We start from the raw sequence: 22,595 nt of genomic DNA on the forward strand, positions 1-22,595 counted from the left end.
TTAGCTGGACGTGGTGGCGCATGCCTGTCATTCCAAGCTACTCGGGAGGCTGAGGCAGGAGAATCGCTTGAACCCAGGAGGCAGAGTTTGCAGTGAGCCAGGATTGCACCACTGCCTGGCAACAGTATGAGGCTCCATCTCAAAAAAAAAGAAAAAAATCTGCTAAATTTGTAGTAACTTGTTGCACAGCATAGAAAATTAATATAGTCTCCCTAAATATTATAGTTAGTACTGCCTGCTTTTAAGAGTCTCTTTCAATCTATAGATTCCCCCTGCATCTCTTTATTCTCTCTCAATTTTTTATTGAAAAATTTGGGATGGTTAATTTGTATCGCTTCCCATAGTCTGGATTTTGCTGGTTACATTCCTGTGGTATAGGTTAACAGGTTTCATTTTTTCCTCCTGTAAATTGATCATTGCATCTAGAGTGTTAATCAGATTAAGCTTTTTATGTTTTTGTTAAGACTCTTTCTAAGTACACAGCTACAAGGTGTTTGTGTGTGTGTGTATATGTATATGTGAATTTGTGTATTTTTTTTAAGATAAGATGCCTCATGAAACATACTGATACTTCTGATTCAAATTCAGGAGACAAGATGTTACTCATTCTCTTCTATTTCACATCTGTAACTCCTTTTCCCTACACCAAGAATTCAGTTCTCTGGCCACTGGGGATGATAGAATTTGAATATCACATAATTACTAATTGCTTTGTCCCATGTTCGAAAACATTCTTAGAATAAAAATATAACATTACCAGTCCATATGATCACTAAAAACAGTTCCAAAACATTTTATTTTACTTTAGTATTATTATTACTTTTTTTTTTCTTTGAGACGGAGTCTTGCTCTGTCACCCAGGCTGGAGTGCAATGGTGTGATCTCAGCTCACTGCAACCTCTACCTCCTGGGTTCAAGTGATTCTCCTGCCCCAGCCTCCCAAGTAACTGGGATTACAGGCGCCCACCACCACACCTGGCTAATTTTTGTATTTTAGTAGAGATGAAGTATTGCAGGATCTGGCCAGCAGCCTGCAATGCAACGGGGCTCTCTCTTTGTTCCCAAGCGGATTGGCAGGTTGAGAAATAATAGACACACACAAGATAGTGAAAGCTGGGTCCAGGGGGGTCACTGCCTTCTGGTCCCTCAGTGCCAACAATGCACGGGATATACCAGCATTTATTATTAAGTTTAGTGAGGTCGGGGGTAGGTTAGTGAGGGATTTAGGGTCATTTGATTATGAGGTGAGATGGTCACATGGGGATGAAGCAATTCTTTAACATAACATTTGTATGTAGAAGTACAGTACATTTGTATGTAGAAGTATAGTATACAGAGATAAGAATTTACAACATAGTGTGTGCGTCAGTAATTTCTAACAGAGCCTTAAAACAGAAACACAGTCTTTCCATAACCTATGATTAGCAAGATTTTAATCAGTAGTAAAAACTGCAACAAAAGCTGGTTACAAACAATCCATGGAAACAGGAAGCTAGACAACCGGTTAGACCAGAAATTCTCAGAAGGGAGTATGCCTTAACCCTAAAGAGGCCTAGAAGAGCCACGGCAAGATGAGGGCGTTTATAGCCCTATCTTATCCATATGGACAGGCACCCCCTATGCGTCCATTTATAGGCTCTCCACAAGGGTCGCATTCCATTCCCAGAGCTATGAACATCTGCTTTGCTGGGATACGAATCTTGGTGATGTGAAACTTCCCTGACTGCAAGTCCATTCATAGGCTCTCTGCAGGGGGAAGCACATCACGTGCTATTGGCTCATTCTGGCAGTCCAACCTGGCATTGTCTTTACACAATCCTGCATGCAATTTTGTATTTACAATAATCAGGAGCATTTCATCTTTTATTCCATAGCAATAGTTTCAGGGGGTCTCCCTACAATGAAGTTGCGCCACATCGGCCAGGCTGGTCTCGAACTCCTGACCTCAAGCCACCCACCTGCCTTGGCCTCCCAAAGTGCTGAGACTACAAGCCTGAGCCACCGTCCCTGGCCAAAAAACAAAAAACAAAACACACACACACACACACACACACACACACACACACACTTTAAAGATATGCCCACACCATTTTCTCCCCCTATTTATAGCTGTACTTTGTCTATGTTGTTGGCGAATGTAACCATTACACTCCATCCTCTCCTTTTTACTCCTCATCTTCTCTTGGTTCTCCATGTAAATATATCTTTAATGTTCACACCAGGCTAATGTCAATGTCTTTTTAGTCTCGTTGGTTGTCTGAAGCTTATTTTCTAGTAATTCCTCAGGAAAGGCTTTGGGAACAATATTCTCTGGGTTCCTGCACATTGGTGAGAATCTGCTATTTTTTTTTTCTTTTTAACTCACTCTGTCACCCAGGCTGGAGTGCACTGCCGCGATCTGGGCCCACTGCAACCTCCATCCCCCAAGTTCGAGCGATTCTCCTGCCTCAGCCTCCTGAGTAGCTGAAATTGCAAGCGTGCACCACCACGCCCAGCTGTTTTTCTATTTTCAGTAGAGACGCAGTTTAGCCATTTTGACCAGGCTGGTCTTGAACTCCTGACCTCAAGTGATCTGCCTGCTTTGGCCTTCCAAAGTGTTGGAATTACAGGCGTGAGCCACTGCGTCCGGCCTGACAATCTGCTATTTTTATACTTAAAAGTTAGTTTGACCAGGCCGGGTTGGGTGGCTCACACCTGTAATCCCAGCATTTTGGGAGGCCGAGGCGGGCTCACCACCGGATGTTGAGAGTTCGAGACCAGCCTGACCAACATGGAGAAACCCTGTCTCTACTAAAAATACAAAATTAGTCGGGCGTGGTCGCGCGTGACTATAATTACAGGACTGCCCAGTGGTCGGGACCCTGCTAGGTTCCAGCCAGTGGGAGCGGATGGGGTAGTGGGAAGGCGGGGCCTGGCGGGTGAGGGCGGGGCCTGGCAGGTGGGGCGGAGGCCTTCCGGGGGTGGAGCCGGGGCCTTCCTGGGGTGGAGCCAGCGGCCCTGGGCACAGGGCCCGCCGGGGCTCTGGCAGGGCGGTGGGAAGGCGGGGCCTTCTGAATGGGGGCGGGGACGGCTGGAGTTGCGGGGACTGCTGGAGTTGCGGGGCTTGCCTGGGGTGGGGCGGGGCGGCCTAGGGGTGGGGCGGGGCGGCCTAGGGGTGGGGCCGCCTAGGGGTGGGGCCGGCGGCCCTCGGGATGGGTCCTGCCAGGGCGCAGAGATGGCGGTGGAAAGGCGGGGCGAAGGCGGGGCGTGAGGCGTGGAGGTGTGGCCTGACTGGGGCGGGGCGGGGCGGGGCGGAACAGCCTAGAAGCAGGGCCTGGAACTGCAGGATACACTCCCCTCCTGCTACCTAGGCAGGCGTGAGGGTGTGACGGCCGCGCATTCGCCAGACGAGAGCGATGGCTGAGAACGCCGCACCAGGTCGCCTTAGACTCACCAGGTCGCCTTAGACTTAGATGGGACGGGGAGGCCTCGCGCGAGCGCCCCATTGCCCACCCACCTGGTTGGGACTGTGGAGGAGGGCGGATGGAGTGGAGGGTTCACCGACCGCGTCGCCCTTCTGGGTGTCGCAGCTCCTTCCTCGGCAGTCCCGGGGCGTGAGAGCGCGACCGGCCGGGAGTTGGGGGACCCGGGACACGGCCGCACGTGGCCTCCCAGGGTTCTAGGAGACCCTGAGTTAGCCGGGCGTGCGCGTGGGTGTCGGGGGCGCGCAGGTCTCCAGCCTTGCAGAGACGGAGGAGGCTGCCAGCTGTGGGGGGCGGCGGTGGGTCCTGGAGTCCCACCGCCTGCCCTAAATTTCCACTCCGCCCCTGTCGCCCAGTGTGACCTTGGGCATGTACTGCAGCTCCCAGTGCCTCAGTTTCCTGCTCTGTGGAGGGAGAGTGACAGTGCTCCCACCTGCTGCGTGTGTGAGGGTTTGGCACCCCTCTGGCCTTTGTGAAAGGCTTAGGAAACGGGCTGTTTCTTTACTCCGGTTTTACAGGAAAGGAAACTGAGGCTCAAGACGTTTTAGTAACTTCTCCAAGGTTACCCAGCCAGCAAGTGATGGGGTCCAGGCCTGACCAGCGCCCCCGCCCCAGCACATTCTAGAAGGTTCTGCCCCAGTTTAAATGGGGTGCATGCTCTGAGGCCTGTCACAGCTTTTTCCGGCTTAGCTTCTCTGTCCCTCCTCTGGGAGTCTCCACTCCCATGTCTGACTCTCTCCCCATAACCTTCTGGGGCAGCTAAGGGTCTGAGTCCCTCTGGACATGAGCCCCTGGCTCAAGCACATCAGGGAGAGATAAGGGGCTCAGGGAGCACCAGCTTCATGGGTGAATGAATGAAGGAATGAAAGACCCGGCTGTGTCTTTCAGGTCTGATCTCAGAGCTGAAGCTGGCTGTGCCCTGGGGCCACATCGCAGCCAAAGCCTGGGGCTCCCTGCAGGGCCCTCCAGTTCTCTGCCTGCACGGCTGGCTGGACAATGCCAGCTCCTTCGACAGACTCATCCCTCTTCTCCCGCAAGGTGTGAGGCTGGGGCTGAAGGGAAGGCCAGGGGGAAAGTGGGCAGGAAGGTGAGGGGGGAGGTCTGCAGGGGAATGAGGAGGGCGGGGAGACAGCTGGCATAGACACCTCTTCCTACCCTCCAACCCGCTTCTCTCTGTTTCAGACTTTTATTACGTTGCCATGGATTTCGGAGGTCATGGGCTCTCGTCCCATTACAGCCCAGGTGTCCCATATTACCTCCAGACTTTTGTGAGTGAGATCCGAAGAGTTGTGGCAGGTAAGAAACAGAGTGTGTATTTTCGGCGGTGTGGGGGGTGCTCTAGGGCACCCCCTCTTATCACTGGAGGCGGGGTAGGATCCAGGAAGCAGCGCTGGCCTGAGAGTGGGGCCTGGGCTCTGGCCCCAGGTCTGCCAGCAATTCACGGGAGATCTTGGGAAAGTTGAAGAGTTCGCTTCCTCCAGTGGGTCCCCCAAGCTAGTGTCCTGGGTGGACACCCCAGATGCTGGGAAGGGATTTCCTGAGCCTGGGGACTAGAAGCAAGATCGTGGGCTGAGCCTGTGCCCAGCCGGACCTTCTGGCTCCTTGCATTTCCAGCCTTGAAATGGAATCGATTCTCCATTCTGGGCCACAGCTTCGGTGAGTACAGTGGCCAGGAGCTGACCGGGCCCGGAGTAGGGCTGGGAGGGAAGGATAGGAGCTGCTGCCCCACCCCTTTCCCCTGCACTTATGAGATCTGCAAAGAGAGATGAGAGGGTCAGTCAGAGGTTGACCACTGTACCCTCTGACCTCAGGCAACTGCCGCAAGGGACACAGGGATGAGGGAAATGTGGTCTTTTGAGTGGTCAGGTCTGATGAAGGGGACATCATGGCCCAGATGCTGAGCCCCCAGCCACCCATATGGTGCCCCCCCCCCAACTGGTGGGAAGAAGCTTTAGGGTATGCAGCTGGGGAGGGAGTGAGGGAATGTCACCCACAGCTCTTTTGTCCCCCAGGTGGCGTCGTGGGCGGAATGGTGAGTAGATGGCTTTGTCTGGCCAACTGGGGCTCCCTTGGGTGGAGTGGGGAGGGGAGCACAAAGGAGGAAGGAGAAGGTACCTGGGACAGAAAGTGCCTCCTCCTGTCACAGTGATAGTCCTTATACCAGGAAGTTGGTGTAAACGGTGGAGACTCCTGGTAGAGTTCATGTTTCCACGCCCCCATACCCGGTCCCACCGCACCCTGGAGTCCAGCCATCACCAAGGTCTGGAGCTCAGTGCTGGGTGCAGACTTAGGGGTGGTGGGGGAAGGCACACCATAGATAGAAGATTCTCCTCTGGCCTCTTGGTCAGCACCCTCCCCCCAGCCTAAAAGATGTTTCGGGGAACTCCAGGGTCCCCAGGGAAAGGCGGGAGTGTCCTTTCCTTCTTCATCCTATTCATTCTCCCCTTTTGGCATCCTCACAGTTTTTCTGTACCTTCCCCGAGATGGTGGATAAACTTATCTTGCTGGACACGCCGCTCTTTCTCCTGGAATCAGATGTGAGAAGCGGGCTTTCGTGCATGCTGTCATTAGGGAGGACCTGGGCCCCGGGCAGCGCTCCCAGCCCTGTCTCCTTTGGTGGACACTAGGGAAGCACGAGGAGGCGGCAGAGGGTGGGAAAGGGGAGTCAGGGACCCGCTCCCCAACAGATGACACCCTTCTGCTGCTTATACCCCTAGCAGTGGTCAGGACAAGGGGTGTGGGGGACCCCTTGGAAACTGGATGTGTGGCTCGGGATCTGCAGAATGCCAGGCTGATCACGCAGTGGCAGGCAGTGGAAGAGGGCAGCGGCCATGGGTGGAAGATGTTCTAGGGCACACAGCTGGGCCGGCACACTGCACTCACACCCAGTCGAATGCCTTTGCACTGTGTCCACATTGCACCACCACACATGACAGCCCTAAATGTGAACTGAAGGAACAAGGACTGACCCCTCTGACCACCACTACCCATAACCAGTACTGTCTCTGCGTCTGAGTCCTGGCCTGGTTTACCTGCTGGGTGACCCCTGGCAAGTTACTTTGCCTCTCTGGGCCTTAGTTCCCGCACGTGTAAAATGAGGTTGGGCTCAATGACCTGGCCAGCTCTGACATCCTGTCATTTTCTTGCCAAGGTCTCAGCCTATCAGTTGTGACACAAGTCTCATCAGTTTCAGTTTTCTTGTCCATAGAATGACCACAGATCGGCCAGATGCGGTGGCTCACGCCTGTAATCCCAGCACTTTGGGAGGCCGAGGCTGGCGGATCACCTGAGGTCAGGATTTCGAGACCAGCCTGACCAACATGGAGAAATCCCGTCTCTACTGAAAGTACAAAATTAGCTGGGCGTGGTGGCACATGCCTGTCATCCCAGCTACTTGGGAGGCCGAGGCAGGAGAATCGCTTGAACCCAGGAGGCGGAGGTTGCAGTGAGCCGAGATTGCGCCATTGCACTCCAGCCTGGGCAACAAGAGGGAAACTCCGTCTCCAAAAAAAAAAAAAAAAAAAAAAAAAAAGAATGACGGCAGATCCCATAAGGATAAGGATCATGTCCATCTCTGTCACCACATCCCCAATCCTGGCACCTAGTAAGGGCTCAGTAAATGTTCCTTGCATGAGCTCAGCTAGCTCAGGGGCTATTATAAGGATCCAATTTACAGATGGCAGACAGCAGACACTCCCTTCTTTCTGCATTTCACCCACTGAATTGACAAGTGCAGTGCCCCCAGGGGCTTCCTCCTGGGCGAGTCAAGAGGGGCATTTGGTCCTCTTGTCCTGCATTCTCAGGCATGGGTAGATGGGAGATGCCCCCCTCTGCAGCCCCAGGCAGTGGGCCTGAGGCTGTCCTCACAGAGTGAGCCACACATCATGGGGGAGCTTGGAAGCCCCAGAAATGCGCCCTTTCTGCCAGTCCCTTTCTGCCACTGAGAATGATGGCATTCGTTGAACCAGATGAAACTGCCAACCCCAGATGGTTCGTGGCCTCCGGACCCTAATTTCATGCCTTTGCAAAGCACTTGGCAGTTGACAGAGATTCCCCTTCCTCTCCATCATCCCACCTGATCTCTTCAACTGTCCCTGGCCGCAGGCAAGACCAGGCTGGCTGTGACTGAGGCGAAGCAAAGACTCGTTCAGAATCGTGGGGCTGACTAGCCAGGGCTGGGGCTGTGTGCCCCTTTGCCGAGAGGGGCTCAGCTGAGAGCAGAGGGCAGGGCTAGGAGGGGCAGAGACCTCGTCTGCAGCCTGGATCCCTGCCCACCAGCCAACTGTGCCTCCTTAGGAAATGGAGAACTTGCTGACCTACAAGCGGAGAGCCATAGAGCACGTGCTGCAGGTAGAGGCCTCCCAGGAGCCCTCGCACGTGTTCAGCCTGAAGCAGCTGCTGCAGAGGTGGGTGCCCGGTGTGGACGGGGAGCTGGTGGGGTCCAGGGGAGGACATCCCGTGAGACGTGGAGAAGCTTCTTTCTCCCTCTCACCCAACAAGCCTGTTTCTCCCTGGGGTCACGCTGAGCACCAGGCTTCCCAGGGTCTTCAGGGACGTTCTCTCTTTCCCTCTGCCCCTGCTCCAGCCATGCCCCTTACTTCCAATACCCTCCCCACACCTCTCACGCACCCGCCTCTCTCCCAAGCACATGCTGCTTCCACGCCTTCTCTCCCCTCTGGGACTCCAGCCTGGGCTCCCTTACCTGGAATTCTCCCCTGTGCTTGCTCACTGGCTTCCCCACTCCTTGGGGCCTCAGCTGGGAACCCTGCCCTGACACCCCCAGGCAAGCTGTCCCTGCCCTGCAGGTAACCACACTGTCCAATAAGAGCCTATTGATTCCTCTGTTTCCCGAGGCATGTGAACTCCGCAACCCCCACTATGGCTGATTTGGTCATCTTTGTGCCTCCTGCATCTGGCAGTGGGCCTGGTAGGTCAGAGCTCCACACATATTTGTTGTCTGAAGGAGGAGAAGCCCCCCACTGCCCCACCACACGCACGCGCACACACACCCACACACACACACCCTGCCGCTGTAAACATGCAATCGAAACACGGGACACAGGCCAGGCGCAGTGGCTCACACCTGTAATCCCAGCACATTGGGAAGCTGAGGTGGGAAGATAGCTTGAGCCCAGGAGTTAGAGACCAGCCTGAGCGAGATAGCGAGACCCTGTATTTAAAAAAAAAAAAAAAAAAAAATTAGCTGGTCGTGGTGGCACACGCCTGTGGTCCCAGCTACTCAGCAGCCTTAGTTGGGAGGAGTGCTTAGCCCCAGGAGGTCGAGGCTGCAGACAGCCATGATCATGCCACTGCACTCCAGTTTGGGTGACAGTGAGACCCTGTTTCAAAAGGAAAACAAGGGCCGGGCACGGTGGCTCACGCCTGTAATCCCAGCTACTCAGGAGGCTGAGGCAGGAGAATCGCTTGAATGGGAGGCAGAGGTTGCCGTGAGCCGAGAGAGCACCACTGCACTGCAGCCTGGGCGACAGAGCGAGACTCCATCTCAAGAAAAAAAAAAAAAAAGAAATTACATAGGTGACATAATACATAATGATTGTCAATTTAACCGTTTGTAAGTGTGCACTTCAGTGGCATTAAATACAGTCGATGGAGGTGAGGAGAGGAGGGAGACATCCCAGGCACTGGCTGCTGCACAGGGAAAAGCTCGAAGTCAGCTCGGTGCATCTGTTGAGAGGGGGATTCCTGATAGAGGCTGTGAAGATTAAAGAGGGGAGGGGCAGGATGACAAAGGTTCTCAAAAAACAGCGTCCCATCTGGAGGCCTGTGTCACTGGAGACTTGTATTAATAGAAACTTGGCCATCTCTGCCAGTGAGGGGCTGTAGGACCTTGGGCAAGGTGCTTACCCTCTCTGAGCCTTGGTTGTCTCACGTGCAAAAAGAAAGTGCTTTCATTCGCTCAGCTGGTTTATGAGCAGCTTGGCTAGGGGAGCCAAGCCCTGGGCCTGCCTTTGAAGGGTTGTTGTCGAGACTAGGTGAGGTCATGTGTGTTGAGTGGCCTCGCACAGTGCTGTCGCTTCAGGTGCTCATGGCCTGTGCTATTTTGTGATTGTTAAAATATGGTAGAACATTGGACACATGTGAGACACTGTCATTAGAGGTGGGGATGCTCTAACTGCAGGGAGACCGCTGAGAGCTGCTGCCCAGGCCCAGGCCAAGAGATGAGGCTTGGACCAGGGCGTCAGCCAATGGTCTGGGAATGTTAACGTGTTTGTCTTTGATCCGTGTGGGATTTGTTCTTGAGCATGGTGTCAGATAGTGATTCATTTTCTTTTTTTTTTTTCATGTTTTAAAAGTTCTATTTTTCTTTATTATTATTATTATTATTATTATATTATTATTATTATTGATACAGAGTCTCGCTCTTGTTGCAAAGGCTGGAGTGCAATGGCACCATCTCAGCTCACTGCAACGTTCGCCTCCCAGGTTCGAGTGATTCTCCTGTCTCAGCCCCCAAGTAGCTGGGATTACAGGCACCCACCACCACACCTGGCTAATTTTTGTGTTTTTAGTGGAGATGGGGTTTCACCATGTTGTCCAGGCTGGTCTCGAACTCCTGACCTCAGGTGATCTGCCTGCCTCGACCTCCCAAAGTGCTGGGATTACAGGCATGAGCCACAGTGTTCGGTCTATTTGAATTGTAGAGACAGGGTCTCCCTCTGTCACCCAGACTGGAGTGCCATGGCTCAATCATGGCTCACGCAGCCTCAACCTCCTGGGCTGAAGTGATCTTCCCACCTCAGCCTCCCGAGTAGCTAGGACTACAGGTGTGCGCTATCACACCCAGCTAAGTTTTTTACTTTTGTAGAGACAGGGTCGTGCCATGTTGCCCAGGCTGGTCTTGAATGCCTGGGCTCAAGCTATCCTCCCGCCTGTTTCCCAAAGTACTGGGATTATAGGTGTGAGCCACTGCAGCCAGCCATTGTAATTGTTTTTCTAGATGAACAGCTAGTTATTCCAATACCAGCTGTTGGGTGGTCCTCCCTACCCACTAAGGCTCACTCACTGGTGGTTTGTCCCTTGTGTGTGCTGACCTTCGTGGTGGGAGTTTATTGCCAGATCCTAGTCAATCTGACTTTTGGAGATGCCCCTTTCCCTGTCCTTAGGGACCATGTCTTATGTGACCTGATCTGTAGTGGGATCTGTGATCACCCATAATGCTGGAAGGAGGAGGCTTCCCAGGGATGGAAAGACTTCGTTAGGACATAAACTAAATTGCAGAAGATACACATTCCAAGATGGGGCTGGCCCAAAATTCTTTTTTTTTATTTTTATTTTTTAAATTTCTGGCCAGGTGCAGTGGCTCACGCCTGTAATCCCAGCACTTTAGGAGGCCGAGGCAGGCAGATCACTTGAGGCCAGGAGTTAAAGACCAGCCTGGCCAACATGGTGAAACCCTGTCTCTACCAAAAAATACAAAAATTAGCCGGGAGTGGTGACACACACCTGTAGTCCCAGCCACTTGGGAGGCTGAGGCAGGAGAATCGCTTGAACCCGGGAGGCGGAGGTTGCGGTAAGCTGAGATCACGCCATTGCACTCCAGCCTGGGCAACAAGAGCAAAAAAAAAAAAAAAAAAAGGTTCTATAAATTCTTCTCATATTTTTATTTAACATCCACAATGTGATTTAAGATGTAATCAACATAAAGCTTGATTGCATTATTTTGCATGCTGTTTTCCAAATCCAGCTTCGTGTCACACCTACAGCACATCTCACTCAAGCTGGCCACATCCCCGCCATCCAGACGTAAAACAGTCACAAGACAGGGCAGGCAGGGCCGCGGAGGAGGCTGGCTGGGGCCATCACGGAGTGCCCATCCTGCACTGTGGTCCCAGCAAGTTTCTTTCTCCTGGCAAGAAGCCTGTCCCAGGCTGGCAGGGGACAGCGTGAGGTGCAGCCTATGGACTGGGAAAGGGGTGTGGAAGGGCCACACCTAAGTCCTAAAATCCAGGCCCAAAAGTGGCCCAACTCACTTCTCTGACTTTAATCACACAGCCATACCTGGTGGCAAAGGAGTATTGGAAATGGAGTCAGGCTGGGTAGCCACGAGCCCAGGAAGAGGGGAGAACAGACTTGGAGAGGGCAGGAGTCTCTGGCCACCAGGGGCTAAAGAGCCTTCGATGAGGCAGTGATGTGGGGTCCTGGGCTCAGACCCAGGGTGGGTGGCTAAGGTGCCCTCGCCAGGGCTTAGCCACCCCAACAGAGATGGGTTTCGTGCCCACGAGAGTGCCTGTGCCTTGTGACGAGAATTCACCATGTTTTTGTCTCTGCAGGCAGAGAACAGCATTGACTTCGTCAGCAGGGAGCTGTGTGCGCATTCCATCAGGAAGCTGCAGGCCCATGTCCTGTTGATCAAGTGAGTCTGGACCCATCCCCTTCAGTCACCCCCCAAGGAGACATGGGCGCCAGGAATCTCTGGGAGGGGGCCCTGGCATGAGGCTCCAAGTTCTCTGCGTGTCGACCACATCGCTAAGACTCAAGATCTTTTTTGGGAAGCCCCCCTGGCAGCAGGGTCATGGAAGGAGGAAGGTCAGAGGAGGGGAGGGCTCAGGCAGCAGGGGATGGGCCGGGGCTGTCCCATGCCTTTCCACAGGTGTCAGCGGGGGGCATGCCCAGGTAAGGCTCCATAACCAGTGAGCCCAGTCTCGACTCACTGCAACCTCTGCCTCCTGGATTCAAACGATTCTCCTGCCTCAGCCTCCCGAGTAGCTGGGACTACAGGCGCCCGCCACCACGCCTGGCTTATTTTTGTATTTTTAGTAGAGACGAGGTTTCGCCATGTTGGCCAGGCTGCTCTCCATCTCCTGACCTCATGATCCGCCTGCCTCGGCCTCCCAGTGTTGGGATTACAGGCGAGAGCCACCGTGCGTGGCCCACCATAGACGATTTTTAAGCCATAAAAAGAAACGAAGCACTGACATGGGCTCCAGCATGGATGAGCCTTGAAAACATCGCACTAAGTGGATGAAGTCAGACACAACCGTCTACGTGTTGTATGGCTGCATTCACGTTCAAGTCCAAATAGGACACACGGCAGAGACAAAGCCAGGTCATGGTTGCTCAGGACCGGAAGCCTGTTGGGGGTGGGGGGGTGGGGTGTGTGTGTGTGTGTGTAAGCTCAGAGGTTTGCGATTTCTTTGGGGGTGATGAAAATGTAATTGTGACGATGGTCTCACAACTCAATGTATTAAAAACCACGGGATTGTAGACTTTTTTTTTTTTTTTTTTGAGATGGAGTCTGGCTCTGTCGCCCAGGCTGGAGTGTAGTGGTGCAATCTCAGCTCACTGCAAGGTCCGCCTCCCGGGTTCACGCCATTCTCCTGCCTCAGCCTCCGGAGTAGCTGGGACTACAGGCACCCACCACCAAGCCCGGCTAATTTTTGTATTTTTAGTACAGACAGGGTTTCACCATGTTAGCCAGGATGGTCTCATCTCCTGACCTCGTGATCCACCCGCCTCAGCCTCCCAAAGTGCTGGGATTACAGGCGTGAGCCACCATACCCGGCCAGGATTGTAGACTTTCAATGGGAGGATTGTGAAGACATAAATTCTCTCTCAGAGCAAGTGTGGGCTCCAGCGCCTGTTCAGATCCCAGCTCTGCTGTTCAGGGCTGACTGTGACCAAGTCCTGAACTCCCTGCGCCCCAGCAAGGCTGTGCCTTCAGCACTTGCTTGCGCCTGGCTTGTGCCAGCTGAGCGTGAGCTGAGATTAACTGAGCCTCAAATCCAACCCAGGGTCAAGGGACCCAGCTGTGGGAGTTGGGGTAGCCCAGGCTTTGGTTTCTCCTCAGAGGCCTGAACCCAGGGCAGGATGGGGGCACCGCTGGGAGGCGGTTCTAAGATGAACCCCAACAACCCCCAACTCCTCACTTTCCAGAGCAGTCCACGGATATTTTGATCCAAGAGAGAATTACTCTGACAAGGAGTCCCTGTCGTTCATGATAGACACAATGAAATCCACCCTCAAAGAGGTAAGGCGGGGCTCAGGCAGCTGGTGTCCAGCCACTGTCGCCCACTCTGGTCCCACCTCACCCATCTCTTCTCATGCACTGGGAAAGACCCCTGGTCTGCCCCCAGGCCCAACAAGTGACCACCAGGATCTATCAGGCCTCATGCTCCAGTGATCAGTCCCTAGAGGCCTGGGGACACATGTAATCAGAATTTAAGAAACAGAGACCTTTGGTGGGGAGGTTCTTTACCATCCTCAAGTACCCACCCCTCCTTCTTGGGGCCAGGCACAATTAGGTGACCCAACTGCCAGAGACAGTCCCACATTTTTTGAGAGACAGGGTCTCATTCTGTTGCTCAGGCTCAGTCATAGCTCACTGCAGCCTCAAACTCCTGGGCTCAAATGATCCTCCCACCTCAGCCACCTGAGTAGGTGGCACTACAGGCGCATGCCATCATGCCCAGCTAATAGTCACACTTTTTTTTTTTTTTTGAGATGGAGTCTCACTCTGTCGCTCAGGCTGGAGTGCAGTGGGAAGATCTCAGCTTACTGTAACCTCCACCTCCCGGGTTCAAGCGACTCTCGTGCCTCAGCCTCCTGAGTAGCTGGGATTACAGGCACCTGCCACCATGCCCAGCTAATTTTTATATTTTTAAGAGATGGGGGTTCACCATGTTGGCCAGGCTGGTCTCAAACTCCTGACCTCAGGCGATCCGCCCACCTTGGCCTCCCAAAGTGCTGGTTTTGCAGATGGGAGCCACCATGCCCAGCCTAGTCTCACTTTATAGGCTCCCAAACCACAGCAGAACACCTGGCTGCCTCATCCCTCTGCACCCATCACGCCAGTGGGCATGCTGGCTGTAGGTGGGGATGGCCTTTGCCCGGGTTCCTGGGAGCACCTGGTGTTTTATGGTCACCTACCCACTTACACCTGACCCTGGGGCCTCTGCAGTTTTCTTGGCGTTGTCACCACAAAAGGAAGAAGCCCACCTGTGGCTGGCTGGCTGGCCGCCAGGTCAGAGCCAAGGCAGGCAGGGCCTTCCTGTCTGGCTTCTTGAAGGCAGACACAAGTCTGCAGGCTGCTCACGTCATCTCATTATCTTTTCTCACGAGGACTACTTCGGATACAATCACAGCAACCCTGGCCTCGGCCCTGCCCTGTCCCTGCCATGCAACTTCACAACTCAGCTGGCCTAGACCCCTGGGAGGCCTCCAAGTCCCTAAGGTTAGACATCTCCTGGGGTGCTATGGACTGTCGGGGCTCCAAGGAGCCGAGTGTGGGGGAAACTCACTGTGGGAGGCGCTCCTGACCTGCAGGGAGCTGGAATGCTGTGGGAGGGCCCTGACCCCGGGGCCCATGGAGCTCCCTAGGCTCCTCTGGCCACATCTCACTACCCACCCCCTCCCCTCTCCAGCGGTTCCAGTTTGTGGAAGTCCCAGGCAATCACTGTGTCCACATGAGCGAACCCCAGCACGTGGCCAGTATCATCAGCTCCTTCTTACAGTGCACACACACGCTCCCAGCCCAGCTGTAGCTCTGGGCCTGGAACTATGAAGACCTAGTGCTCCCAGACTCAACACTGGGACTCTGAGTTCCTGAGCCCCACAACAAGGCCAGGGATGGTGGGGACAGGCCTCACTAGTCTTGAGGCCCAGCCTAGGATGGTAGTCAGGGGAAGGAGCGAGATTCCAACTTCAACATCTGTGACCTCAAGGGGGAGACAGAGTCTGGGTTCCAGGGCTGCTGTCTCCTGGCTAATAATCTCCAGCCAGCTGGAGGAAGGAAGGGCGGGCTGGGCCCACCTAGCCTTTCCCTGCTGCCCAACTGGATGGAAAATAAAAGGTTCTTGTATTCTCACTGCTTTTGAGGCTTTTTCGTTGCCAGCAAGGGCTTTTGCATTGAGGGAAAAGGAAGCACAGAACGGATTCATCCAGGGTCCTGGAGAGGAGGGTGTGGAGGCAAGAAGCAGGAAGGACAAGTCCTCCTCTCGGCACGCCTGGGTCCCCAGGACTGCTGAAGCACAAGACCCGAGGGGTGGCCTGGTCCTTCCCTCCTGGCCTGTGTGGACTCTGATGGGGCTGTTGGACGCGGTGGCCTTCAACCTGGGGCCCGTTGGCCAGAGCTCGGCCTCTCAGAGACCGCTGCAGGCCCTGCCTCGCCTCCTCCTGGCCCTGCACCTCCAGCCATTCACTGCGGCTCTCACAGCTCAGTACGGTCGGAATTTGCGCTGGGCCCGCAGCAGCTCGATCCTCTGCTTGTCCTCCTCGAACTTCTTGCGCAGCTGCGCTAGATCTGGGGGTGAGAGGAGGCGCGGGGCAGGGTCAGACAGCGCGCCCCGGGGAAGCTGGCTTGCTCATGCCCCACCCCTCCTCCCAGTTACTGTGGGGGTGGGGCTATGTCTCCCCCACCAGCCCATCCCCCTCCCAGCTCTGCTGTGGGGGCAGGGTCTGGATCTTGTCAGGAAACAGAACCGACGGCAGGCCGAGTCCAAGGGCAAGGCCAAAGTGGGAGATGCTGGCACCCCCAGCCTGGAGATGAAGCCCTAGCGACAAAGCAAAGGTACCCGCCCCCACCCCCATCCCTGCACAGGGGGAAGGAAGGAGTCTTGAGCGCTCGGCCTGGAGAACCCTGAGAATCAGTAAAGGCACCCCAGCCCTTGTGCTGGTGAATGCAGATGGCAACCCTGGTCAGTGGGAGGCTGATGGCACTGAGGGGGAAGCTGAGGGTCTAGAGCGAGCACGAGCGGGAGCCAGGAGGGCCAGCCAGGCAGGGAAAGCACCAGTGACTGGGCGGGCGGCTCAGGGCCTGCCGCAGAGCCCGTCCCTGTGCCCTAGCCAGGGCCAGGAGAACCCTCCCCTGGGCCCACAGGGAAGCTGTTCTGTAGACAGGGACACCAGGCAGTGGGGCAGGAGGCTCAGCCGCAGCACCAGGAGTGGGCCACAGGCGATCGGGCCCACAGGCATGGGAGGGTCCTGTGCGGGGCCACCTGACAGACACACACACACACACACCCACCACCAACCCAACACACATACTCTGCAGCACCTTCTCTGCACCCACAGTGGGTTCAGAAGCCCCCTCTGCACTTGAACTCCTCGTTAGCTGGAGGCTGACGAGCGCCAGCACTAAGTGCACAGGGACCCAGAGGTGGGCACTGATGACCTAGGGTCCCCACCCACTGAGCAAATGCATCTGCCCCTAGGGGGTGATGGGGAACCGCCACACAGGGTGCTGCCAGGCTGGGCCTCTTTCCACAGAGTCTGGTGCGAGCCCCGTGCTTAGGGACGCCCTCCCTCCTCGACCACCAAGTCCAGCGCCCGCCCTCAGGAGCACTGGCCACAGGCCTCATCCGTGGCTGGGGCCAAGGCCGAGGGGTCTGAGGATGGACTGGGGGTGGCTTACGCTCCATCTTGCTCTCTCGATGCTGCCAGGCGTAGAAGTTGAGCAGCTCTTTTCGGCTGCGCTTCCGTCTCTCCCTCTCCAGCACCCGCAAGCTGGCTGCCTCAGTCCGGGGGAGCACAGGCCGCCGGCCCCGGCGGGTCACCTTCACCCAGCCCTCCTCGTCAGGGACCCCCTCCTCCTCCTTGGCCTTAGCTTCTTCCTGCAAGGAAGGTGATCCCATCCTCCGGTGGGACCTCCTGCAGCCTCCAGCAGCGCGCCCTCCACGCCCTCCTCCCAAAGTCAGAACTGCCCTGAGCCCCCGCAGGGGAGGGCTGCTCCCCTCCTCCCAGCACAGTGTTGGGGCTAAGGATGGCGGGGAGGGCACGGACCTGCCGGCACTGCCTCCTTCTCCACTGTAGGACATGTGGAGACTACATGTGTCACCCAGCCAGGCAGCCCAGGATCCAGCAGGGAAACAGGGAGCCTGGCCTCTACAGAGTGGCCAAGGACAGGCCACCACTGCCCTCCCTCTGGGGCGCCACCTTCCCACAGCCACACGGGCGATGCGGGGCTCGGCCGACCCCGCGGGGCCTCTACCTCAGCGATCTTCTGGTCATATGCCTCCATGAACGTGTCCACTTCCACCCTCAGGGCCTCAGGGTCGGGCACAGAGTCTGCGTAGTCACTGATCCACTCTGAGGAAAAGGGAGCCAGGGAAACGGGGCTTCCTCAGGCCTGGCATTTGGGCCCCACCCCAGGGCCTGCCAGGCAAATTGGGACCTTTTCCCACAGGGCCCGGGGCACAGGTGCTAAGGAGATCCCAGGGGCTGCAAGCTGCGCCCTCGCTCTGCCTGCCCAGTATGCCTGTGCCGCTCTGTGCCAGGGGCTCAGGCTAATGACTCCCTGGGGACCCAGACACAGCCCCATGGTCCTCCTGCCCAGGCCTCCACATGCTGCTCTCAGGGAGCATGGACTTGGCTTGTGACATTCAGACACTGTCCCCATAGAGTGTCCTGCCAACCCGGAGCCCAGAAAGGAGGCGCCAGACCCCTCCCGCAGTACTAACTGTGAATGCCACTCTTCACAGGGTGGCTCTCTGTGGACACCAGCAGGGGGCCCTTCAGGGCCAAGGCCGCTGACACCCCACTTGGCTTCTGGAACACCACATAGGCTACCTGGAAACCCTGAAGAGAGAGAGATGTCAGAGGTTGGGGGCTCCTTCCCACGTCTGGCACAAGGTCTCCAGGCCTGCCCTCAGCCTAGGTGGTAGCTACACCAGGGGAGATGGTGCTAGGCTATTCCTGAGCCATGAAGAGAACCACAGGCCATCCCATAATCCAGGTCAGAGGCAGCCACACTTCCAGTAATCCTGCTTCTGCGGGAAGTGACGGCTGTTCCCAACTCCTCCCCAGGAAGAGGGGATACAGAGGCTTCTTTTCTTCCAGTCACGGGAGGGATGCGGTGAAACACAGGGGTCGCCCTGGGCCAGGGCAGGTTTTTGGAAGCCAGGCCTGGGCGCACACACCATGCCAGATGCCACTGTGTGGGGAGGAGGTGTGGGCTCCAGGGCCACTGGGAAAGCTGTGAACAACAGTGCTCCTGGAGACCCGGCCCCCAAGCCTGGGGAAGGAGCTCCCTCAGTGGGGAAGCAGGAGGGGAGCCGGGGAAGGCCCTGCAGGTGGCCAGCAGAGACGGTCCGTGAGCTTTAACACGGGACAGAAAAAGCCAGGCAGGAAGTGCAAGGATGTGGCAAATCTGGCAAAGAATCGCAGGCTTTGTCACCCAGACAGTCTCTTACACCACACACGGTGAGGATGGGCTCAGGACCAGAGAATGCTCTGATGTCCCACTGCCAGCTCCCCCAACACACTGGGGACAGTGCCCCACCCCCCTCACTCTAGTGGAACCCCGGGCTTGGCGGCTCACCGGAACTGGCTTGGGATGAAAAAACTTCGACCTTGACTCCTTTGGGCTCTCAGCCAGGTCCGGCTTCTCCTGCAACTCTACAGACTGGACGAGGCCACAGGTGGACAGGAGGCGGGACAGGCTCTCCTGCCGCAGGGAGAGGGAAGCCAAGTGTGAGCATCCGCAGGGCCATCCCAAAGCCTCCCTGCACCATGGGTGGCGCTGCCAGGGGTCCAGCGCCGCTGAAGGACTCAGCCACAGCCACATCTGCCCAAGCCGGGAGACTGTGGGCACCATGGCCTCCGACCTGTTCCCCAGGGACAATATGGAGGTTGATATTCCTGCTCTTTTTTTTTTTTGAGTTGGAGTATTGCTCTGTAGCCCAGGCTGGAGTCCTGCAACCTCCACCTTCGGGTTGCAAGTGATTCTCATGCCTCAGTCTCCCGAGCAGCTGGGATTACAAGCGCCCACCACCACCACACGTGGCTAATTTTTGTATTTTGAGAAGAGACAGGGTTCTGCCACGTTGGCCAGGCTGGTCTTGAACTCCTGACCTCAGGTGATCCGCCCGCCTCGGCCTCCCAAAATGCTGGGATTACAGGCGTGAGCCACTGTGCCCGGCATATTCCTGCTCTCTCACTGGAGACAGGTGGGGACATTCTTGCTGTTATTCTGATTTCCTATGACAAGTTTTACTACCTGAATCAGCAGTAGTGACCCTATGCTATGACAGTTGGGATGGTGGTTGTCTGTGGTGGAGGCAGCGGGGGTTCTGGGATGTGCTGCTGTGTCTCCACCTGGGCGCTGACTACACAGCTATGTTCTGTCTCTGGGATGCAGCGAGCTGGACACTTGCCACTGGGGCCCTTCCAGGCACACATGCTGCACTTCAAAAAAGGTCAGAACTCACACCCCCTCTTCTACATGCTTCTTTTTTTCTCTAAGTTTAGAGGAATCTTTTACAAATTAGGGTTTCTTTTTTGAAAACAAATCCAGCAATTCCCTTGGCCAGGGGCGGTGGCTCACGCATGTAATCCCAGCACGTTGGGAGGCTGAAGGGGGCGGATTACTTCAGGTCAGCAGTTCGAGACCAGCCTGGCCAACATGGTGAAACCTTGTCTATACTAACAATACAAAAATGAGCCGGGCATGGTGGTGGGCGCCTGTAATTCCAGCTGCTTGGGAGGCTGCGGCAGGAGAATCACTTGAACCCGGGAAGCGGAGGTTGCAGTGAGTTGTGAACGCTGTGCTCCAGCCTGAGCAACAGAGGGAGACTCTGTCTCAAAATAAATAAATAAATTAAATAAATAAATAAATAAATAAATCCAGCAATTCCCTTAGCTTAGTTTTTGTAAAAAAAAAAAAAAAAAAAAAAAATTAACAGTTGTGTTTGGATAGAATTAGAGGCACTTTTTATTTTCTTATACTTTCCTACTTTTAAATTATGGACATGTACAATCTGGAAGAAAACACGTAATTCAGACAACTTTGGGTAATATGTAAAAATGCCTTGGGCTACTTAGGATTGTACTTTTTTCTCTTTTTTTTGAGTCAGAGTCTCACTCTGTTGCCCAGGCTGGAGTGCAGTGGCGCGATCTTGGCTCACTGCAACCTACACCTCCCGGGTTCAAGGGATTCTCATGCCTCAGCTTCCCTAGTAGCCAGGACTACCCACACATGCCATCATGCCTGGCTCATTTTTTATTTTTTAGTAGAGACGGGATTTCACCATGTTGGCTAGGCTGGTCTGGAACTCCTCCCTTCAGGTGATCCGCCCGCCTCAGCCTCCCAAAGTGCTGGGATTACAGGCATGAGCCACCGTGCCTGGCAGGATTATACTTTTAAAGACATCTTTAAAAAGCCAGTTTCCTGACTGGAGATCACGGTAGCCCTCCTGACACTCTCCTCTGGGGCTCCCATTAGCTGTGTCCGTCTCACCACCAAGGACTTGGTGGAGGCCATGGGAGCCCCCACCTTGAGCCCACAGGTCTCCTCCCAGACAGACACTAGCTCACCTCTGTGCAGTATGGGGGCACATTGAGGACAAAAAGAGTCCTCTTCTGAGGCCAGGTGGACTTGGTGCCTTGTCGAACGCCGTGTGCTCTCACATAGAGGTAGTGAGAAGCCTGTTGCTTTTCAGAGAACTTGATTGGAATAGCTGGAAAGGAAATGGGAGGGGAGGGATGGCCAGGCTACCCTGAGCTGAGGCCAGCGAGACACTCACACAACTTCCTTTCTCCACATCCCTGTCTAGTCCTATCTGTTCATCGATCCATCCATCCCTTCACCAACCCCCCTTACCCTACTCTTTGGCAAAGCCTGTGCGGGCTCTAAGAGTCTGCCCAGGAGGGCCTCCCAAGGCGGTGCAGGGAGAGAGAAGATAAATGGGCAATGATTACAGATGGGGGCGCAATGAGAGGGAAGCTCGAACCCTGCGGCTCTTGGAGTCAACGCCAAAATCCTAACCATGGCTGGAAGCCCCGTGAGACCCTGCCTGTCACTGTGACCTCTTCTCGTACCATCTTCCCCCAGCACCTTGGATTCTCTGTTCCCCCGGGTACACCAGGGCCTCACACATGCTGGCCTCTCTACCTGGCGTGTCACCCTCTTCCCTCCCGCTCACCTCAGGTTTAGCTCAAACCTCGCTTCCTCAGGAGAGCCTTAGCATCACCTCCGCCCCTCCTGCCAGCTCAGATCCCACTGCCTGTGCCTTCACAGCTTCTCTTAACAGTCTGGAGGCTATATTGATGAGATTCTTTGGTTAATCGCTGGCACACCCATGACTGTAATCCTCATAAAGCTAGGAACTGCTTCTATTTTTCTCACACCTCCGTCACAGTACCGGTTGGCGTAGAGCTGCGGTCCCTGAACTCAGGAAGCTCAGTTGCAATAACGGAGAAGACAATTAACAAGCATACAGCAAACTTGTATCAATTGTGAAAGAAACATTACAGGGTGATGGGGTGGCAGAGGTCTTCTTTCCATAGGCCATCACGGATGGCCTCTTTGAGGAAGCAACATTAAAGCTCAGGCCAGAACGCCACTGTGCAACAAACCGGCACAGCACGTGCAAAAACCCAGAGGGGGGAAAAAGCATGTTCCCTCAGAGGAACAGAAAGAGCTTTAGGTCGGCACCAGCCAGACCACGTGGCCCACACAGGTTAAGAAGTCTGGTTTTTGTTTTAGAAGCTACCTGATAAAGCCACTGGAGGGAATGCAGTAGGTGTGGCGCCTATCGTGGGCGCGGCAGACATGATCGAATCTAAATGTCCTTAAAAGAACATTCTGGCACGTGGGTGGAGAACAGAAGCAGGGGCAAGAGGAGAAGGAGGGCAACCGAGTAGGAGGGCCTATAACAGCCCAGGTAAGAGCTGATGGGGGATGGACTAGGAGCAGAGGCGATGAGAAGGGGATGGGCTCACCTGGACGAGCGGGTGTGGACGGAAATGGGTTTGTCCTGGGTGAGAGTGTGGACAGAGGCGGGCTCACCCAAGGGAAGCGTGGACCAAGTTGGGCTCGCCCCGGGAGAGTGAGCAGGCAGAAGGGCGCCGCCTGGGTCCTCGGGACCCCGGAGCCTCAAGACCTGCGGAGCCTGGGGCCACGGGCCACCGGGGCTCACACCCAACCGTGCGGCCGCTCCTGGGGACCCCCGGCCGTCGCCAACCCCCAAACACCTCCCGGCGATGCCTGACCGCCCCCGGTCTCGCGTCCCGGAGCCCCTCACCTGCGTAGCCCAGTGGGCTGGGGATACGGTCCTCCGGGTCCCGCGCGGCGCACTTCCTCCTGCGCGCCACCATCTTGCCACCCGGGAGCGCGGGGGCCGCCGGGAGTTGCGGTTCGGCGCCGGCGCGAGCGCGTTTTCGTGGCGCCTGCCCCGCCCC

At 55.5% G+C, this 22,595-nt stretch overlaps 1 protein-coding gene, 2 long non-coding RNA genes and 1 pseudogene across 4 annotated transcripts in view, besides 11 other annotated features; 2 read left to right on the forward strand and 2 right to left on the reverse strand.

Annotated features, from left to right (window-relative positions):
• Positions 1,404 to 1,924: an enhancer, noted in NCBI's record as "OCT4-NANOG hESC enhancer chr22:42894685-42895205 (GRCh37/hg19 assembly coordinates)". NCBI's record gives its function as "activates a minimal SCP1, AML or CMV promoter by ChIP-STARR-seq in naive H9 embryonic stem cells {active_cell/tissue: H9 hESC(naive)}" and the evidence as "EXISTENCE:reporter gene assay evidence [ECO:0000049][PMID:30033119]".
• Positions 1,508 to 1,802: a silencer, noted in NCBI's record as "tiled region #4608; K562 Repressive DNase matched - State 5:Enh". NCBI's record gives its function as "represses a minimal TATA promoter and a strong SV40 promoter by Sharpr-MPRA in K562 cells {active_cell/tissue: K562}" and the evidence as "EXISTENCE:reporter gene assay evidence [ECO:0000049][PMID:27701403]".
• Positions 2,010 to 2,511: an enhancer, noted in NCBI's record as "H3K27ac hESC enhancer chr22:42895291-42895792 (GRCh37/hg19 assembly coordinates)". NCBI's record gives its function as "activates a minimal SCP1, AML or CMV promoter by ChIP-STARR-seq in naive H9 embryonic stem cells {active_cell/tissue: H9 hESC(naive)}" and the evidence as "EXISTENCE:reporter gene assay evidence [ECO:0000049][PMID:30033119]".
• Positions 2,712 to 3,081: a silencer, noted in NCBI's record as "silent region_13825". NCBI's record gives its function as "represses an Ori minimal core promoter by ATAC-STARR-seq in GM12878 lymphoblastoid cells {active_cell/tissue: GM12878}" and the evidence as "EXISTENCE:reporter gene assay evidence [ECO:0000049][PMID:35858748]".
• Positions 3,102 to 3,151: a silencer, noted in NCBI's record as "silent region_13826". NCBI's record gives its function as "represses an Ori minimal core promoter by ATAC-STARR-seq in GM12878 lymphoblastoid cells {active_cell/tissue: GM12878}" and the evidence as "EXISTENCE:reporter gene assay evidence [ECO:0000049][PMID:35858748]".
• Positions 3,304 to 15,285, forward strand: SERHL (serine hydrolase like (pseudogene); annotated as a pseudogene). The gene is made up of 11 exons (NR_027786.1): positions 3,304 to 3,417; positions 4,350 to 4,499; positions 4,644 to 4,757; positions 5,076 to 5,117; positions 5,474 to 5,493; positions 5,924 to 5,998; positions 7,758 to 7,867; positions 11,753 to 11,835; positions 13,356 to 13,449; positions 14,541 to 14,652; positions 14,843 to 15,285. The product of NR_027786.1 is annotated as a serine hydrolase like (pseudogene) (transcript).
• On the reverse strand, positions 4,634 to 8,584 carry LOC101927372 (uncharacterized). The gene is made up of 2 exons (XR_938283.3): positions 8,545 to 8,584; positions 4,634 to 6,084 (listed from the first exon to the last, which is right to left on the reverse strand). It is a non-coding gene; the product is annotated as an uncharacterized LOC101927372 (long non-coding RNA).
• Positions 7,319 to 7,952: an enhancer, noted in NCBI's record as "H3K4me1 hESC enhancer chr22:42900600-42901233 (GRCh37/hg19 assembly coordinates)". NCBI's record gives its function as "activates a minimal SCP1, AML or CMV promoter by ChIP-STARR-seq in naive H9 embryonic stem cells {active_cell/tissue: H9 hESC(naive)}" and the evidence as "EXISTENCE:reporter gene assay evidence [ECO:0000049][PMID:30033119]".
• Positions 11,058 to 11,757: an enhancer, noted in NCBI's record as "H3K27ac-H3K4me1 hESC enhancer chr22:42904339-42905038 (GRCh37/hg19 assembly coordinates)". NCBI's record gives its function as "activates a minimal SCP1, AML or CMV promoter by ChIP-STARR-seq in naive H9 embryonic stem cells {active_cell/tissue: H9 hESC(naive)}" and the evidence as "EXISTENCE:reporter gene assay evidence [ECO:0000049][PMID:30033119]".
• Positions 11,069 to 22,521, reverse strand: RRP7A (ribosomal RNA processing 7 homolog A). Its single transcript, NM_015703.5, has 7 exons — positions 22,439 to 22,521; positions 20,730 to 20,872; positions 18,736 to 18,861; positions 17,876 to 17,993; positions 17,407 to 17,504; positions 16,831 to 17,029; positions 11,069 to 15,720 (listed from the first exon to the last, which is right to left on the reverse strand). Exons 1-7 carry the CDS (start codon positions 22,509 to 22,511, stop codon positions 15,635 to 15,637), a joined length of 843 nt encoding a protein of 280 aa, NP_056518.2. The 5' UTR covers positions 22,512 to 22,521; the 3' UTR covers positions 11,069 to 15,634.
• Positions 11,758 to 12,456: an enhancer, noted in NCBI's record as "H3K27ac-H3K4me1 hESC enhancer chr22:42905039-42905737 (GRCh37/hg19 assembly coordinates)". NCBI's record gives its function as "activates a minimal SCP1, AML or CMV promoter by ChIP-STARR-seq in naive H9 embryonic stem cells {active_cell/tissue: H9 hESC(naive)}" and the evidence as "EXISTENCE:reporter gene assay evidence [ECO:0000049][PMID:30033119]".
• Positions 16,540 to 17,083: an enhancer, noted in NCBI's record as "H3K27ac-H3K4me1 hESC enhancer chr22:42909821-42910364 (GRCh37/hg19 assembly coordinates)". NCBI's record gives its function as "activates a minimal SCP1, AML or CMV promoter by ChIP-STARR-seq in naive H9 embryonic stem cells {active_cell/tissue: H9 hESC(naive)}" and the evidence as "EXISTENCE:reporter gene assay evidence [ECO:0000049][PMID:30033119]".
• The window catches only part of LOC124900479 (uncharacterized), a 31,093-nt gene continuing 29,638 nt past the window's right edge, over positions 21,141 to 22,595 (forward strand). Inside the window, exon 1 of the long non-coding RNA XR_007068117.1 lies at positions 21,141 to 22,078. This is a non-coding gene — a long non-coding RNA (uncharacterized LOC124900479). The remainder of the gene's footprint in view (positions 22,079 to 22,595) is intronic.
• Positions 22,273 to 22,402: a silencer, noted in NCBI's record as "silent region_13827". NCBI's record gives its function as "represses an Ori minimal core promoter by ATAC-STARR-seq in GM12878 lymphoblastoid cells {active_cell/tissue: GM12878}" and the evidence as "EXISTENCE:reporter gene assay evidence [ECO:0000049][PMID:35858748]".
• Positions 22,413 to 22,582: a silencer, noted in NCBI's record as "silent region_13828". NCBI's record gives its function as "represses an Ori minimal core promoter by ATAC-STARR-seq in GM12878 lymphoblastoid cells {active_cell/tissue: GM12878}" and the evidence as "EXISTENCE:reporter gene assay evidence [ECO:0000049][PMID:35858748]".

The sequence above is a fragment of the Homo sapiens genome, chromosome 22 (assembly GCF_000001405.40).
Source record: "Homo sapiens chromosome 22, GRCh38.p14 Primary Assembly".
NCBI lineage: Eukaryota > Metazoa > Chordata > Mammalia > Primates > Hominidae > Homo > Homo sapiens.

Bases quoted from the DNA above. Each gene is read 5' to 3' on its own strand.
- RRP7A (NM_015703.5), bottom strand. From the start codon at position 22,511: ATGGTGGCGCGCAGGAGGAAGTGCGCCGCGCGGGACCCGGAGGACCGT. The intron at 20,873-22,438 runs GTGAGGGGCTCC...TTTCCTTTCCAG, and splicing joins CAGCCCACTGGGCTACGCAG to CTATTCCAATCAAGTTCTCT. The intron at 17,030-17,406 runs GTAGAGGCCCCG...CCTTCCTTGCAG, and splicing joins ATGACCAGAAGATCGCTGAG to GAAGAAGCTAAGGCCAAGGA.